We start from the raw sequence: 17,129 nt of genomic DNA, 5'->3' as shown, positions 1-17,129 counted from the left end.
TCCATGTCTTTGCTATTGTGAATAGTGCTGCGATGAACATAAATGTGCATCTATCTTTATAATAGAATGATTCACGTTCCTTTGGGTATGTACCCAGTAATGGGATTGTTGGGTCAGAGTTATGCATTTTTATTTGTAACTATTTTTAAGAAGATAGAAATAAAATGGTGAGATGGAATATACATATTCAAAGAACAGACATCAAAAGTATTTCAATTTTCATATAAGGATTAAGTTATTCACATAAATAATTAACTTGGACAAAATGTTTGTATTAATAATGAAGAAGTAAGACATGCTTATTTGACTGCTTTTTCCCATTATCTGATTGAGACTCTGGGCTGCTCACTGATTAGATGCTGGCTAGAACAGGTAGGTAATTCTAGCAAAATCTATGGGAATAGCTTCTTGTAGGAAAAACAGCTAAGTAAATTCAATACATTTTATTTTCCTAAGTACTCATGTTGAGCAACATGTTTATTTCAACAAACTCATGTTGGTCTCTTGGCTTACTCACCATAGCCTATACAATGATTCTGAGAATTATTACTTCGACTACTACCATGAGGAAACTTAGAGATTCATTTTACTCTTTCTCCAGGAGATAAAACCATAGAACCTGATGATTTCAACTTGTTTTATCCTTTTGGTCAATCCTTTGTGGATATCAAACTTCTTTTTGACTAGAACCTTTGATTCATTAATTCCCAGTGAACCACAGCAACAATGCGAAATCTATCGTATCTTAAGCTAATTTGTGTTCTAAGAATGAGTTATTGTTTGTAAATCTTTTTTTGTTTGTGTCTGAGACAGTTTCACTCTGTAGCCCAGGTTGGAGCACAGTAGTGAAATCATGGCTCACTGCAACCTCCACCTCCCAGGTTCAAGCGATTCTTGTGCCTCAGCCTCCCTAGTAGTGGGGACTACAGGCACCCACCACTATACCTGGCAATTTTTTGTATTATTAGTAGAGAATGGGTTTTGTTGTTGTTGGCTAGGCTGGTCTCGAACTGCTGACCTCAAGTGATCCTCCAACCTTGGCCTCCCAAAGTGCTGGGATTCCAGGCATGAGCCACCATGCCTGGTTATTATTTGTAAATCTCTAACCAACATTTTAGTTATATATCTGAAGCATTCCAACCTTTATCATTTATATTATGAATAGTATTAATTTTATAAGTTAAAGTTTACTTTTCAAGGACAGTGTGTGTGTGTGTGTGTGTGTGTGTATGTGTAAATATCCTAGACTTTGCTTCCCTGCTCTGTCTCTGTTTAGAGATCTCACTACTTTCTGTAATAACACTAGAGACCTACAGGTTCAATAGCTGACTATTAGAGAAAAGGCACTTATCCTTATTTTATTAAGAGAGAGAATGAATTTTTTAACGTAAAATATTCCAAATTCTTGTTTAAGTTAGTGGTGCAGTTCTGGTGATGAGATTAGTGATAAAGTCTACTTTTGTGATAATTAGCCCCCTTTTCTCTCCACTCTCCTAAAATAAGAAGAGTTTAGATTGCAATGCTTCCCAAGAGGCAGAAGACAGTGGCCTCAAGGTAAAAGCAATTTGAGCCTTCATCTCAGGCTGCTTCCTCAGCTGTTCATTCATTCTGTGGCTTGAATGGGGAATGCATTGCCTAGAAATGCGAAATATATGGAAAATAATTCTACCTCCAGTTCATTGTCCTTTTGGCTATTTTTCTCATTTTGAAGCTGCATGGAGCTATTTTGGGCCTTCTCGGTGCACTTAACATTGCTTTAAAACAGATTTAAGTCTCCCTACGTGACTGAATTTCCAATTCTCTATCCGACAGAGCAGTACACTATTAAAGCTCTACCAGGTGTTCAATATGCACACATTTATCTGACTCTTCTTTTCGTTAGAAATAATAGAAAATGAAATTGAAGATTTATGGTTGAGTGTGATTTGCTGAAAATACTGGTCTAAGAACAGCTTTATGTCTACTTGGTAAAGTTACAAATGAAATCCAAAATGTTTCTAAACATAATGTACTTTCCCTCTTTGTGCTTTCCCTGGGCCTTGCTACGCACAGTCGCATGTTTTAGAGACAACTCCAAATCCCTCAACGAATGCCAGTTAGGAAAAGACAGACAAAGGTATATGTGAATTATACACCCATGATTTACCGATTTTGTGGCTCATTCATGACAAGTTGTTGAAAACAGAAGACCGGCTCCTGTTGCTCTCAAGTTCTGTGGCACATGGTGAGCATACATGCATTTCTAAAAACCTGCTCACTTTTTAGAAATGCATGTATGCTCATCAAGTCTTGATCAATTAAAAAGTAGATAAAAAATAGATAATAATATAAAAATATCTCCCTCTAGCTTTGGAGTGGGAGACTTACTGCCAAAAGTTTAATAAATTTATTAATTAAAAAACATCTGATCACCACGTCTGAGTTTGGTACACAGTTGACACTCAGTGAGTATCCGTGAAATGAAAATGACTTTGCGTAAATATAAAGGATTGTCACATCACAAAATCTGCTGTCATTAGCTATCTAGAACATGCTACTACTCCAGGCAATTCAGTTCTATTCTATTTAAAAGTGATCTAGTTCCTACCGTTTGCACAAAGTTTGATGGTTTGGGGGACTACACATGAGTAAGAGTGAACCCCGGTATGTCAGGACCCCAGACTTGTAACCAGGGTTCAAAGATTTTGCAAAATTGCAAAAGGTCAGCAAGGGTCTGAGCAATTAAAAGAAGGCCCAGGTACACAGCCTATCTCAGTGGGTACAGCTGCCACTCATAGGAAGAAAGAACTGAAACGCTATTAAAATGATACAAGCACGTTCACTGCAGCACTATTCACAATAGCAAAGACATGGAATCAACCCAAATGCCCATCAGTGATAGACTGGATAAAGAAAATGTTGTACATATACACCATGGAATACTATGCAGCCGTAAAAAGGAATGAGATCATGTCCTTTGCAGGGACATGGATGGAACTAGAAGCCATTATCCTCAGCAAACTAACACTGGAACAAAAAACCAAACACAGCATGTTCTCACTTATAAGTGGGAGTTGAACAATGAGAACACATGGACACAGGGAGGGGAATAACACACACTGGGGCCCGCTGAGGGGTGGGGTTTGGGGAGGGAGAACATTAGGAAAAATAGCTAATGGATGCTGGGCTTAATACCTGGGTGATTTGTTGATAGGTGCAGCAAATTACCATGGCACACGTTGAACTGTGTAACAAACCTGCACATCCTGCACATGTACCCCGGAACTTAAAATTAAAAAAAAAAAAAAAGAATGAACCCAAATGCTCATGCTAAACTGCAATTGAGAGAATGCAAATATAGGAGCTAAGTTTGTTTTTTGTTTGTTTTAAGACAGAATAGAACACAGATGGGCCATTCCTTAAATTTATAATGCAGTCAATTAGCCATTTAAAAGGTTAGAGACAGGATGTTTTGAAGAAAAACCAACTGTCGTTTAAATGTGCCCCATTTCAGAAGGAGCTTTCCTGGCCCAAAGTCATAGGGATGGCATCTCTTTTCCACTTAACCATGTTTTGTGCTGTTCTAGGTTTAAGTTATCAAAAGTTCTTTAGATCTCCAGATTAAATCCTGAAACCCTCACTAGAGATCCACGACAATGTTTACAACACCATTAAAATCTTCTTCTAACCTCTTCTTGCTGCTGTCCCCATCCCTGTTCTCCCTGCCACTGCAACAATGACTTTAAGTGACTTTGTATTTCCCTCCATTCCCCCTTAGGGCTTTTGATATCAGGGTTGAAGCAGTATGGAGGGGCTGAGATAATTATTCTCAGGATTATTGCAGGGAAATTAAAACCCCATTCAGTCCTGGAGAATGAAGAAGGGGAGTTCTAAGAGGTAGGGTATTGGTCAAGCTTTCTGGAGCCGACAGATCTCTTTAACTATGGAAAAGCTATGGTTCTGCTTTCTTCCGGTCTGGCTGTTGCTCTCGCCTGTGGAAGGCCTGTTCTTCCTGCTGTACGATGTCTTCCCAGACCTTGCTAACCCTGGAGTCGGACTTTCTGGATGCAAATGATGGTTCCACCCCTGCTGGCTATGTGGCATGGGCAGATGACTGCACCTCTCTGTGCTTCAGTTTGCTCATCTGTAAAATGGGAGGAGTAAATAGTGCCTATTTCACAGGGTTGAATAAGATTTAAATGAGCAACTATAAATAGATTGCTCACAGTGGTGCCATATAGTATGTTCTACTCGTTTGCTCATTAATTTATGTATTGAGCTTGACATAAAATTCTTTGGAAAAGGAGGATCCGTGTCTTTAACAAACTGAAAAACTTCTGCTCAACTTTTGTCCTCCCCACTCCCTGCTTTACATGTTAAATACATGTATCAGTTTCTCTATATTTTGGATTATTATGTTTGTCTCCTCTTCCCATATCCATCATCTGAATAAAAGCTTTTCCCAAAGTTCTACACCCAGATTTTATGCTTCCTCTGCCACTTTGGGCTTCTGTTTCCATGGCTACAAATATCACCACCATGCAGGTAACTTCCATGTCTCTGTTTTGATCCAAATTGTATCCTTTAAAAGACATTATAAGTGAAAATCATTTTAGTCCTTCCAATCAAAAGAATAAAAAGCAGAATGGCAATGGCACATGTTACAAGCAGTCCTGTGGTCTTCAAAACAACTTCAGAGATAGATCAGGCTCATATGGAGAAGTTTTAAAAATAGACTTTGGTAATTGACTCAAATGCCCCACAAGAAAACATCTCTTTTCAATGAAACCTTGCTTTGCAAACGCCCACGCAGTCCAATCATAAACCAGCTTCCTCTTTCTGAGCATCCCCTCCTGGGATGCATGAATTTCTCTGCACTTTCCTGAGGACAGAGTTGTAAGTGTTCATTAGCTCCCACCCTATTAGCTGGTAATAACTGGTAATGGTATAGTGGTGCATTTGTGCAGAAGGTCAGCATTAAGACATATAAAGAAATGGGGCAGAGGCCGGGCTCGGTGGCTCACGTCTGTAATCCCAGCACTTTGGGAGGCTGAGGTGGGTGGATCAGGAGGTCAGGAGATCGAGACCACCCTGGCTAACAGGGTGAAACCCCATCTCTACTAAAAACATAACAAATTAGCCGGGTGTGGTGGCGGGCTCCTGTAGTCCCAGCTACTCGGGAGGCTGAGGCAGGAGAATGGCGTGAACCCAGGAGGTGGAGCTTGCAGTGAGCCGAGATCGTGCCACTGCACTCCAGCCTGGGTGACAGAGCGAGACTCCATCTCAAAAAAACAAAAAAAAAAAAAAAAGAAAGAAAGAAAAGGGCAGAGACGAAACAATAAAGACAACAGAAAAAAATTAAAAACACGTCGCAGGTGGTTTGGCAGCAAAGCGCACAGTGATAACCTTTTCACTCTTTTAAGGCGTATTTTTCCATTATCTCCTTTGTAGGCTCATCAGCTTCAAAGCTAATGTTTCTCTGACTGTCAACTCCCCGTACTTTTACAGTCTTGATGGGCACATTTTATGCTATCAACTGGAATTCAGGAAGAGAATAAATTCTTTTTAATATGAGTTTGCCTACTGCTAGTAAATATGAAAATTTTTAATATTTACCAAGTACCTATTCTGAGCCAAGCATTTTGCTGGTTCCTTTTAATGCATCCCCTCATTTAGTCTTCTCAGTAAATCTGGAGGAATATAGTTCTTTTAATCTTCATTTTACAAGCAAGGAACTTGAATGTCAAGGAAATTAAGTGACAGGCTCTGGTCACAGTTTATAAGAAGTGGAGCCAAAATTTCAATTGAAGTCTCATTGAAAGTCATTGCTCTCAATGACTTCTCTATAGTATTCTTTCAATTTATACTAATTAATAATACTCACCAATATACCTGGAAGCTTAAAAATCAGTCCCCAAATTGGGCATGAGGGAAGAAAGAGAAACAAAATGCTGAATTATTAAAAAATTAGAAAATCAGCCCTGGCCGGGCATGATGGCTCACGTCTGTAATCCCAGCATTTTGGGAGGCCGAGGAGGGTGGATCACCTGAGGTCAGGAGTTTGAGACCAGCCTGGCCAACATGGCGAACCCCATCTCTACTAAAAATACAAAAATAAGCCAGGCGTGGTGGTGCATGCCTGTAATCCTAGCTACCGGGGAGGCTGAGGCAGAGAATTGCTTTAACCCGGGAGGCGGAGGTTGCAGTGAGCCGAGATCCCGCACTCCAGCCTGGCTACAGAGGGAGACTCTGTCTCAAAAAAAAAAAAAAAAAAAAAAAAAAAGAAAGAAAAAGAAAAAGAAAAAGAAAATCAGCCCTTGATTTTTTTCAAATGTTGGTGAAATCCCATAATTGTTCAGTAGGTCTGAATTCTTTAGTTTCAGTTATCAAATCTAAATAGTGTTCTCTGAATAGGCACACAATAACCTGCACAGATATGTGTAGCTTCATAACGACATGCATATGTATTGTGTCTCTGTAACCGCAGCCAGGTGGCTCTTAACCAATGCACTATGAGTTCAGAAACCCAGGTCACTTTGCCACGCTCCGTTGCAGGATGTGAGACTTCTGCAGTGGCCAGGCTTCTGTTTCCATGCTGATTAATATGGCTGCCCAGCATAAATCATGGCCCTTGTACAGAACTCACTGCCAATTCCCTGAAGAACTGTGGTAAAAGAAAAATAACAAAGCCCCTCTAGAAGAAGGATGACTGACAGACGTCTATCAAGGGCCTTTTCTGAGGAGGAACTGAGTCCCCATGTAATAAATATGTTCATACTTTATTCATGTCTACCTGAGTTTCTAGAACACAATCTTTGGCCATCACAGCATCTCATCTGAAATATTTTGATGAAACATAAGATTTGAAATGAAATATTTTCTAAGCGCTCTATGTCCTTAGGAAGGACCCCAACTCTCTCTGGACACCATTTCATATAAATATAGGAGAAAGTATTATTTCAAATGCTTTTTAACCCAGATACCAAAGGGTTCCTTTTTAACTAGAAAACACTGAATTGACAAATGATATGCCTTTTGCACAAAGAGGTAGTGTCCTTAGACTCGATTCATTAAAGGGCTCATGCCTACATCTTATTGAAAAGTAATATTTATGTATTAATATTAATATTAATTAATCCTAGATACTATTTTGTTTTGGGATGCACTGGGGAATATTTAAGAGAAAATATTTAACTGGACAAATGTGTTGCTTTATCTATAGTCAAGTGTTAGGGTCATTAGAAAAAGCACTTGAAAAAGATTGCAAAACCTTGAGCAGTGGCAGGAGAGGCCAAGGGATCAGGGCACTTGAAACGTGATTTTGTTAAAGTTGCTGTACTTTACTGTGTTCATGTGTCCAATCTTACCATTAACTTGGAATCAACTATAAGGATTTTTTACAGGACTATGTATCAGATGCCGGTCCTTTAAAGTTAATTATAATTACTATGTGATATCAAAAGGTCATTTATTCAAAATGTTCTCTTAGTCATTAGAGTTGATTTTTTTTTCATGCCACATTTGTGCTTGCCTAGAAATGACTTGGAAGTGTGGCTTGTCATTGTTATTCAAGAAACACAAAACTTTGAGGACTCTGTCCACAGCACACTGAAATGTGCTGCTTGAATTTACTGTCTGAAAAGTTGTGGTATATGAGACATAAAAACAAGCAAACAAATAATCTATATTCTCAAGGCTTACAGTATTGCCATTGTTCATAATGTCATTTCTAATGTACTATCAATCAGTTTAATGTGGCTGATTCCAAGATGCTTAATTTACACGAGTGAATTCTCTAACTCATTGGGCCTCTTTGGTTGAGTCATCTGTCTCCTTCCAAAATTTAAGTATCTGGAGACAAATCTCTTTCTATCCCTGATGAACACACTTAGAAAATTCATATTTGGCTTGAGGTTGGGAGGATGGAGTTTTATTTTCAAGACTTCCATCTGAATAGAGGGTGTCCTGGGGGTAAGCACACAGGTGACTGTCACAAGGAAGGCTCATGTGTCACTCTGGTGCTTTGGTAGTAGTTGGCAGATGAGAGAAGTTGGTCTCTTGAGTGACCCTTGAGGAACCACCATAGCTTTCTGGGTGGAGGAGGAAGAAATGTCAGGAAGAAGAGTCTGAGGAGAAGTGGGAGTTAGTACAGGAAGAATCTGTCTCCATTCACAGCAAGGGTGAAAACCCACATCCCCAAATTCCATGCCACTCCCACAGATTTCAGAGCTGTGTTTCAACTTGAAAAGAGAAAAAGGTGGAAAATACTCAAGAAGAGGAAGAAAGGACAGCTGAGGTCACGGCTTTCCTTCTTTCTGAGAAATGGGTGAAGGACAAGAGGACAAATGCCTGGGCCCAGAGGTGCCCTGCAGGCGCTCACCCCAGAAGACTTCCAGTTGTTTAAAGCAGGAGGTTGTTCAGTGTTTCCAGAAGACCACAAACTCCATCCTCTATGATCCTGTATGCTCTGTAATGCAGAATTGTCTGCTACTCCTAGGCCACCTATGGTTTTTGCAGTAGCAACTGGGTCTCCTCCTGCACAGATTGCTACCCACCCACCATGGCAAAGCAGATCCAAGCCCCACGCAAGCAGTGTTCTCTGAAAGGGCACCAAGCCACATGTGCAATTCTGAGACAAAGTGGAGAGTGGGTGGATGGCTCTGCAACCATGTTCTAAACCCAGGGAAGCAAAAACTAACTTTCTTAAATCCTTTTTCAAAGCGAACATTATAATGAAGACTTGAATGTGGTATTGCTATGCTATTTTTTTTTTTTTTTACAGGTAGAAGTTAGAATCCTTTTTCAAATTCCAAAAGTCTTGCTTTCTCACCAAGTTCAACCCTCTTCATCTCAGTACCCACTACACAAAAATGGAGCAGTAATGATCATTTTTCTGAACTACTTTTGATACAGGACAGGTGAGTCCCAAACTGGGGCTTAGCCCACAAGGGTTCTTGCTTCTCCCAGGAAAGAATTCAAGGGTGAGCTAGCCAGTGGCAGGGCAGAAGAAAACAGCTTTATTGAAGCAGTAGTGTTACAGCTCCATGACTGCTTCTGCAGATCAGAGTGACCCCATAGGCAGAGCATAACAGCTCAGGGCTGTTCTGCAGTAATATGTATACCATCTTTTCTTTTTTTAAAGATGGAATCTCACTCTGTCACCCAGGCTGGAGTGCAGTGGCGCCATCTCACCTCACTGCAACCTCCACCCCCTGGGCTCAAGCAATTTGCCTACCTCAGCCTCCTGAGTAGCTGGGACTACAGGTGCATGCTATCATACCTGGCTAATTTTTGTATTTTTTGTAGAGATGGGGGTTTCACCATTATACCTACTTTTAATTGCAAACAGATTAAGGGTCAGTTTATGCAGGTATTTCTAGGGAAAGTGTAGTCACTTCTGGGTCCCTGGGTCATTGCCATGGAAAGGAACAGTAACCCCCAGGTATTGCTGTGGCAGTAGTAAACCGACATGGCACACCAGTAGTCCTGTCTTATGGAAAGCTGCTTCCACCCCATCCTTGTTTCAGCAGGTCTTCAATTTGGTCCACTGTTTAAGCCCTACCTCTGGAGTCGAGTCCTGCCTCCCACCTCACTTTCAGTATGTCCTTATCAAATCTGAGTCATTCTGGCTACCATCATGGTTACATTGTGTGTACTTTGTATATCCTTGCCCTGACCTGGTCCCAGCACAGCCTTACAGGGTGAGGATTCTATTACCCGTGACTGTGGTACTCCTTCCTACTCCCTTTGTATGTCAAGTTCTTAGCTTTGAGTCTTCAGGCCTTTAGATTTTCCATGGATCACCTTTAAGAGGCTTGTGCATGTCCTGAAATTGTACAAATAATTTTATGTAACATACATTTTCATGGCAAGATGGTCTGTGGTATCAGTTTAAGAATTAATGACCTAGTTGGTCATTATTTCAAGATCCTTTGCCCTGTACACTAGTGTGTCTACAAACTATTCTATCTGGGCTAACGTCAAAGTCAGAGGTTGCAGCTACGTTTATGTTGCCTGGGGGCAGTCCCTCAAATGTCCTAGCATGAGCAACCAGCCCACCCTCTGGAATTTCTTCTGCCTGGAAGACTTTCTGACCTCTTCTAAGGAGAGAGATGAATTCTTCTAGTGACCCCAGAGTCCTGAGAACTAAGGGTTGAGAGAACTCCTGAAAGAACTGACTTAGTACCCAACCAGCCCACCCTTTGGAATCTCTTCTGCCTGGAAGATTTTCTGACCTCTTCTAAGGGGAGAGATGAATTCTTCTAGTGACCCCAGAGTCCTGAGAATTAAGGGTTGAGAGAATTCCTAAAAGCACTGACTTAGTACCCAACACTCCCCTAGTCATGGTTCTATGGCTCTTGAGCAAATTCTTGGTTCTGTTTTCTTCCTACCTGATGACCTTTGATTCTTGTAATGATTGGGACTCTGACATATCCTTGTGTGGATCAGTCTTGAATTGCTGCTGCTTCCTAAAGGAAGCAAAATTCTGTTCTTCTTTCCTCTGGTTGGCTGATTTTAGTTTTCTCTGCTTCTGGGCTCTTCTCTGAGCTTAGCCCCTTCTAATGGAGGCCTCTTATGGGATGGCCAGAGTTTCGCACTATGCAGTCTCATGCCTGGGCACAGGTTAGCTCGAACTAAATGCACAGTGTCTGTCCAATGGGTGCCCATAAGCCTGTATTCCTATAGGCATCTCAAACTTACCTCTCATAGAAATAATCACTTTTTCTTTCTAAATGAGCGTTTCCTCCTGCATTAACTGTACCAGTTGAAAGCAAATAGTCCACCAGTCACCTAAGCTAGAAAATCTGGCGATTTCTCTTGTGTCTCTTTTGTTCTTAGTTCCACGTACAATCAGTTTTCCTGTTTTGCCAATGCTAAACTCAAAATATTTCTCAAACCTATCACCTCTTCTCCGCCTCCACGGTTATTGCCCATTTCAGGTCTTTATCATCTCTCACTTGTACTCCTGTATCTGGATCGTAACTGCTCCCAGCCCATCATCTGCAAATCCATAATAATGATCACGATGAAGTCATGATGGCTAATGCATCATGGGTGCTCATCACAAGCTTTATACTATGTGTGTTTTATGTGCCTCCCCATATGTAATGCTCACTATAACCCTATGGAGTATGCATTTGGTGTTATTGTATCCACTTCACAGATGGGAAAACTGAGGCTTGCAGAGGTCAAAGAACTTGCTCAAAGTCTCATGTGTGGAATGTGGTGGAGCCAAGATTCAAATCCAGCTCTGTCCATCTCCAGAGCTTTCATTACAGAATCAATGATTTATTTGAAATCAGGGTTGCCTAGATGGTCCATTTAAAATACAAATCTTCCTGGTTTAAAGCCTAAAATAGTGTCCTATTTCCTTAGCGTATCACTCAGGACCCTCAATGGTCTTCCCTTTTGTGGTAGATTACTAGAATACTGGCCTGTGATATTATCACACCTCCCTGTGCCCACACCCTTGAGGTCTTCTCTCATATTAAGTGTGGACTTGGCCGGTGACTTGCTATGGCTAATGGGACATTTGGAAGTACAAAGCAAGAAAAGACTTGAGAGATGCTTGGGCATTGGGGTTTGCATACTCATGGATCTCTGAGAACTTTTCATCTTCATATGAAGAATCCAAGGTGAACTTTCTGGAGGATGAGAGACCATGTGAAGTCACTCAAGTCATTCTACTGGAGACCTTGGATGCATGAGCAAAGCCGTTCTAGATCTTCCATCTCTGGCCAAGCTGGCCCAGACCAAAAAGATACCCCAAATCACTCATAGGATCATAAGTAAATAAAATGGTTATTTTAAGCCACTAAGTTTTGGGGTGATTTGTTATACAGCAAAATCCAACTGATGTATCTGCTGACCCTCCTACCATCATGTCTCTCCACTCCTTGCTCACCACTTCAGTTCCTAACAATAGCACTCTGCTTGTTGGCTGTGGATCTGGCTTGCTTGCTTTTGCTCATGTTGAGCCCTCCACTGGGAATGCCCTTTCTCTCAGCCTGGTTAACTTGAACTCATCCTTTGCTACTTGGTTTATATTTTGTCTTATATTTCTTCTTTGACACTTCTCTTCTAAACTTTCCCTATGGCCCTTCACGTGGGGTTAGGTAGGTATCCTTTCTAAACATTTTCAAAATCCCTATCACCACGCTTCCAAATGTCTTGTTCATGGGTCTACTCCCCTGCTAGGATCTGGGGGTTTTGAGGACACCGCAACGCCCCCATGCTTTCTTCCCTTTTACCCCCAACCTCTAGCAGAGTGGCTGGCACTTAGCAGTAGCCAATAAAATGTGCTGAGTGACTGAGGAAATGAATGAATGAAATCAGGAGGAGGTTGTCTGTAACTAGCTAAGGGAAAGGCTCCCCAAATCAGTAGATATTAGTTGGTTTTGACACTCTTTAATTCACCTTTTGTGTATTTGTCTTATCTTATAAGATATGAACTCTGAAAGACAAATGCAGATGACTTTTAGTCAAAGGAAGTCGTGAGTAGCCAGCAAAGCAGTGTGTCAGAGACTTTAACATTTTGGGTTGGCTGACAGTATGAAGGAATGGAAGGTGCTAAATGAAACCCACAGAAAGGAAGGTCTGAGGTTGATTATTTTACTTGTTCAAGCGTTTAAAATAGAAATCGGAATCCATTTTCTAACAGGTTTCCTGTAACTGGATAGAAAAAATCTACCCAGAGATTCTTCTTTTTCCTTTTTCCATCCCAAACCTCCTAGCACCATCGTAAAACTCACCCTGAGACAGAGTTGATAAACTGACAGATAGTATCAAATGTCAGCCAGGGCTTCGTTTCCATCCTGAGGCTCTTGGGAACAGCATATGAACAGATTGTTCCTGCCAGAGTATCTCATTATTTTAAGCAAATTGCATTTCTCATTGACTATGTTGAAAGGTTGTACGCTAGTTATAATTACCGGTTTTACTTAATTTCCTTTTATAAATAGGTCGGTACTCCACACTTGAAAGTAGTATGTTGATTACGGATTTTTTTTTTTGTCTTTTGGCCTCAGGGACTGTTTAGTGTAGAAACTGCTGACTGAGTGAATTTAATGAAACAAATACATATCCAATTACAAGAGGATATGTGTGTGTATGTGGGGGTGTGTGTGTGAACACACATAGACTCCCAGGTAGCAAACACACACTATGCCAGGATAATATGCCTTACACTGAGTGCAGGAGAGACTTTGGGTTCTAAATACACATGGAATGAGGCACAGCAGAGCTACTGGTGACAAAGCCTCTCTTGGCGGTGGACGCTGAGTGGCTGGGAACTGAATTGCCACAGATTCCCATTCATGGAAAATCTTTGTTCTAATCAAAGTCAGTTTCCTTAAAAAGTGCAAACGTCTTAACAGAGAAGGGAAACAGATCAAACCTCCATTTCTACAGTAATTTTTAATAAAATATACATTGGTTTTTCCTGATTATAAAAGTAACACAGTTTGTCACAACACTTACAAAATAAAGAAATCTAAAGGAGAAAAGAATAAACGTTACCTTTAATCCCACCACCAAGAGATAAACATTCAGTATTTCACATCTTTCTTTAAATGTATACATCTATATGTATGTATACATATATACTTACTATATGCCCAACTTTGTGTTTTGTTTTTCCCACTAGTATTAATGTACTGAAAGCATATACCCATGTTATCTACATTTGTAAATGTAACTTTTGATATTATTCCATAGAGTGGATACACTGTTACACCTTTAACCATCCCATTATTAAATGTTTCATTAAAAAATCATTTTTGATATTATAAATAACGCAATATTGAATGTTCCCATAATTAATTTTCTATATATCTTCTCTTTCCTTTTAATGAATTAAATGAAATTTCTAGGTTATGGGGTTTGAGCTCTTTTATGTCTTAACATAGATGACGAAATCACTTTTTTTAGATATATTCTATCAGTTTATGGTCACTCAATGGTAATAGGAGTATATGTTTTATATTCTCGTGAACACCAGGAATTAAATGTTTGAAAATATCATCAATGTGATAAGTGAGAAGGTCTACTTTATTGTTTTAATTTGCATTTATTTTGTGCTTAGTAGGGATAGACAATTTTATTCATCTACCATAGCAACTTAACACATGCATTTTGCCCTGGAGGAATAGGGTTTAAAAGAATGAGACAGAGACAAATAAGTTTTGACGGACAAAGGGCAGAAAAAAAGAAATGCCCAGAGCCTAGATTTTAGCAAAAGCATCAGTTGAAGAATTTATAAAGTTTCTGACTTAACTGATGAGGGAGGGGCCAGTCCTTGGTATTTTCCACAAGCTTTGCTGGTAGATCTAACATGAAACTGAGTGGAGAACACCTGAGACAGAGCTTGGTCAGGAAGGCAGACCTGTTGGGCTGCCAAGGTGGGCTGTCCAGAGCAGTTGAGGGTGGAACACAGAGACACTGGGTACCTTCGTGGCTGGTGGTAGTAAAGGGCAGGAAAGTTATCAGAAGGGAATTAGAGGTAGAATAGCCAGTGTGATTCCGTCTTTGATTACACCACTTACTCTCAATTTGGGACTGAAAATTGTGCCTTTTATTATACAACTTACTCTCCAGTTGGGGCTGATAATTCAGTTTGTGAATTGTTCTGGTTCCTGTTTTTCTGGCTTCAGGGTGCATTTTACACATTTCCTTGCTCATAAGCACCTCTGTGAAATGTTAAAAAATAATGGCTAAAATAGAGGGCTGGGGATTATCTGTGGGTTTCAAATAGCCAATCTTTTCTTGACCCCATTGCCACAGAAAATAACAAATTAACTTTAAGATGATGTTTCTTCCCATCTCTGCACCCCAAATAGAGGGAGATTATAAAAGCCTGTGTGTGTGTGTGTGTGCATGCACATGTGTGCACTCACATGCCTGCTATGTCATACCTTAGGGCAGCACATGTTTCTATAGCCCTGGAGGCAAATAAAACCCCCAGACAGTGGCCTCACCTCTACAAGGCCATGGAAGGATTCCTGAGCACCCCGGGCAGAGACTTGAATCTACCTGTCCCAGATTTCCTGCCAGGACTGAAAAATGGGCTACTTAGAGGTAGGCACCCTAGAATCACTACTTTAGGGTTGTTTTAAGGACACTGCTCCTGGTATCTGAGGGAAGTCTAGGACCTTAGCCAGGGTTTTAGAAGCAGCATGATGTAGAGGAAAGATTATAAACCTCAGAGTCAGATAACCTGGATCCTAGCCAGCCTTTCTGCGACTCACTGTCTGAATGACGTGTGAGAATTTGCCTAATTTCTCTGGGTCTTGTGACTTTCTCATGTGAACAGTGAAGACAGTGACTCACGTCTTTTCTTGTGGGGGAAAGGATGAATTTCCATGACCCCCAGCTTGGCCAGGCACTCACCTGGTGGACTGAAATGAATCACTAAGCCCCTGTGAGTCTCATTTTCACATTCTCTCAAATGGGGTTAACAGCACCAGCCACAGCTACCTAGCTCAGACTGAGGAAAGGTGTACGAATTGGAAACAAAAATTAAAATTCTAAGTCCCCCAGCCATCTGAATGGATGTCTCCTCTCTGCCCAGGGCATTCCAAAGTTAACCTGAAAAACTAGCTGAGGCTATGATGGGAAGGGATAGTTGGATAAGCCTTATTACCATTAACATCAACACAGACCTTAAGACTGGTAGAACAAATCCTTTAACTCTGATAAGAAACATTTGCCATCTATTGTCTCTTAAGTGGGAAGCTTCATCTGCATGATAGAACCTTGGCTTCCATAAACCTGTATCTTCATCCAGACATTCCTTTCTATTGATTCCAGGTCTTTAGCTAACAACTCAACAAATTGCCCAGCGGAAAATCTTTGAATCTACTTATGACCTGGAAGCCCCCACTTCCAGTTGTCCTGCCTTTCTGGACCAAACCAATGTACATCGTACATCTATTAATTGATGTCTCCTGTCTCCCTAAAATGTATAAAACCAAGTTGTAGCCTGAGCACCTTGGGCACATGTCATTAGTACCCCCTGAGACTGTGTCACAGGTATGTCATTAACCTTGGGAAAATAAACTTCTAAATGAATTGAGATTTGTCCCAGACACTCTTTGTTTTATAGGACCGGGTAAGTTGATGTGCATGGAAACATCAAGGAGAGTTTAAACTGGCACTTCAACATAAGTGGGTGGTACTCTGTGAATACTGGCATCCACACCAGAATAGGATAGAGGAGTCTGTTTCCGAATGGAGTGCTCCAAGTCTGGAATACCTTGAGAATAGCTCTAGGGTTCATTGTTCAATTAATGGCTTTGCTGTAACATTGTTTAGCCTTTTTACCCCTTGACCTATTTTGGTAAAAATGTAAATCTCATATACTTCTTTAATGCCATTTGAAATATCAGAGTACATTAACTATCAGGAACAAACTTGAGTCATCTACAATCCCTCCAAGAGATGCCTCCTTGCTAGTCTGACCCACCCCACCACCATATTGAGCATGGCTGCTCTGAGGTAAATCCTGAGGTGACAGCCAGAGTGCCACCAGAGGCTTCTGGGTATCCCAGGGTGGTACAATCCCAATACGCCCTTTAATAGCCCTTTGGACCAACCTCAAGTTCACAGAATGCCAGAGCTGCCAGGTTCATCTGAGGCCCAGAGGAGTAAGTGACAGCTTTAGGGTCTCTCAGCCAGTGTGGGACAAGGTTGGAGCTAGGGTCACTGGTCTCATTCACCTGCTTGTTCCTGTTAGGAAATAGTCTTCCTCAAGGTTGAAGGAGTTTCTTTCTCTCCTGTGGCTCCAAGTTCCAAATTCCAATCCCCTGAAGACACCAGGGTGTCTCAAGCTGCCCTGGGATTTGGGGTAATGGGTCACGGGGCCATCAGCGTCTGAGAGACTGCCCGTTGCCAAACATGCACAATTTTAGGCCTGCTGGCTCAGTTGGTGGAAACATTTATGCTTCTTTAACACAGTCTGTTAGAAGGGATCATGCCTTCATCTTCAAGACAGCTAAAACATTATGTAAAAAAAAAAAAATTACATCTTTACCTTTTCTCACAATTCCTCCTTCTTGGTGAGTGGGCGGAGGGGGAGCAGTTAACATGTGCTTGGGCTGGAAAATCTTGTAAACCTTTTCCCAAATCTGCGGGTATCTATTTATAACATGCCC

The 17,129-nt window shown here is 40.9% G+C and overlaps 1 protein-coding gene across 9 annotated transcripts in view, besides 2 other annotated features; it reads right to left on the bottom strand.

The window, feature by feature from the left end:
- Positions 1–17,129, bottom strand: part of CELF2 (CUGBP Elav-like family member 2) — an 874,126-nt gene that overhangs the window by 731,662 nt on the left and 125,335 nt on the right. The gene's annotated exons all lie outside the window — the stretch shown is intronic.
- Positions 15,241–15,440: an enhancer, noted in NCBI's record as "active region_2991". NCBI's record gives its function as "activates an Ori minimal core promoter by ATAC-STARR-seq in GM12878 lymphoblastoid cells {active_cell/tissue: GM12878}" and the evidence as "EXISTENCE:reporter gene assay evidence [ECO:0000049][PMID:35858748]".
- Positions 15,402–15,952: an enhancer, noted in NCBI's record as "NANOG hESC enhancer chr10:10631025-10631575 (GRCh37/hg19 assembly coordinates)". NCBI's record gives its function as "activates a minimal SCP1, AML or CMV promoter by ChIP-STARR-seq in naive H9 embryonic stem cells {active_cell/tissue: H9 hESC(naive)}" and the evidence as "EXISTENCE:reporter gene assay evidence [ECO:0000049][PMID:30033119]".

This window comes from Homo sapiens, chromosome 10 (assembly GCF_000001405.40).
Source record: "Homo sapiens chromosome 10, GRCh38.p14 Primary Assembly".
Classification (NCBI taxonomy): domain Eukaryota; kingdom Metazoa; phylum Chordata; class Mammalia; order Primates; family Hominidae; genus Homo; species Homo sapiens.
The sequence above is the reverse complement of the archived record's forward strand: the minus strand, read 5'-3'. Positions and strand labels throughout refer to the sequence as shown.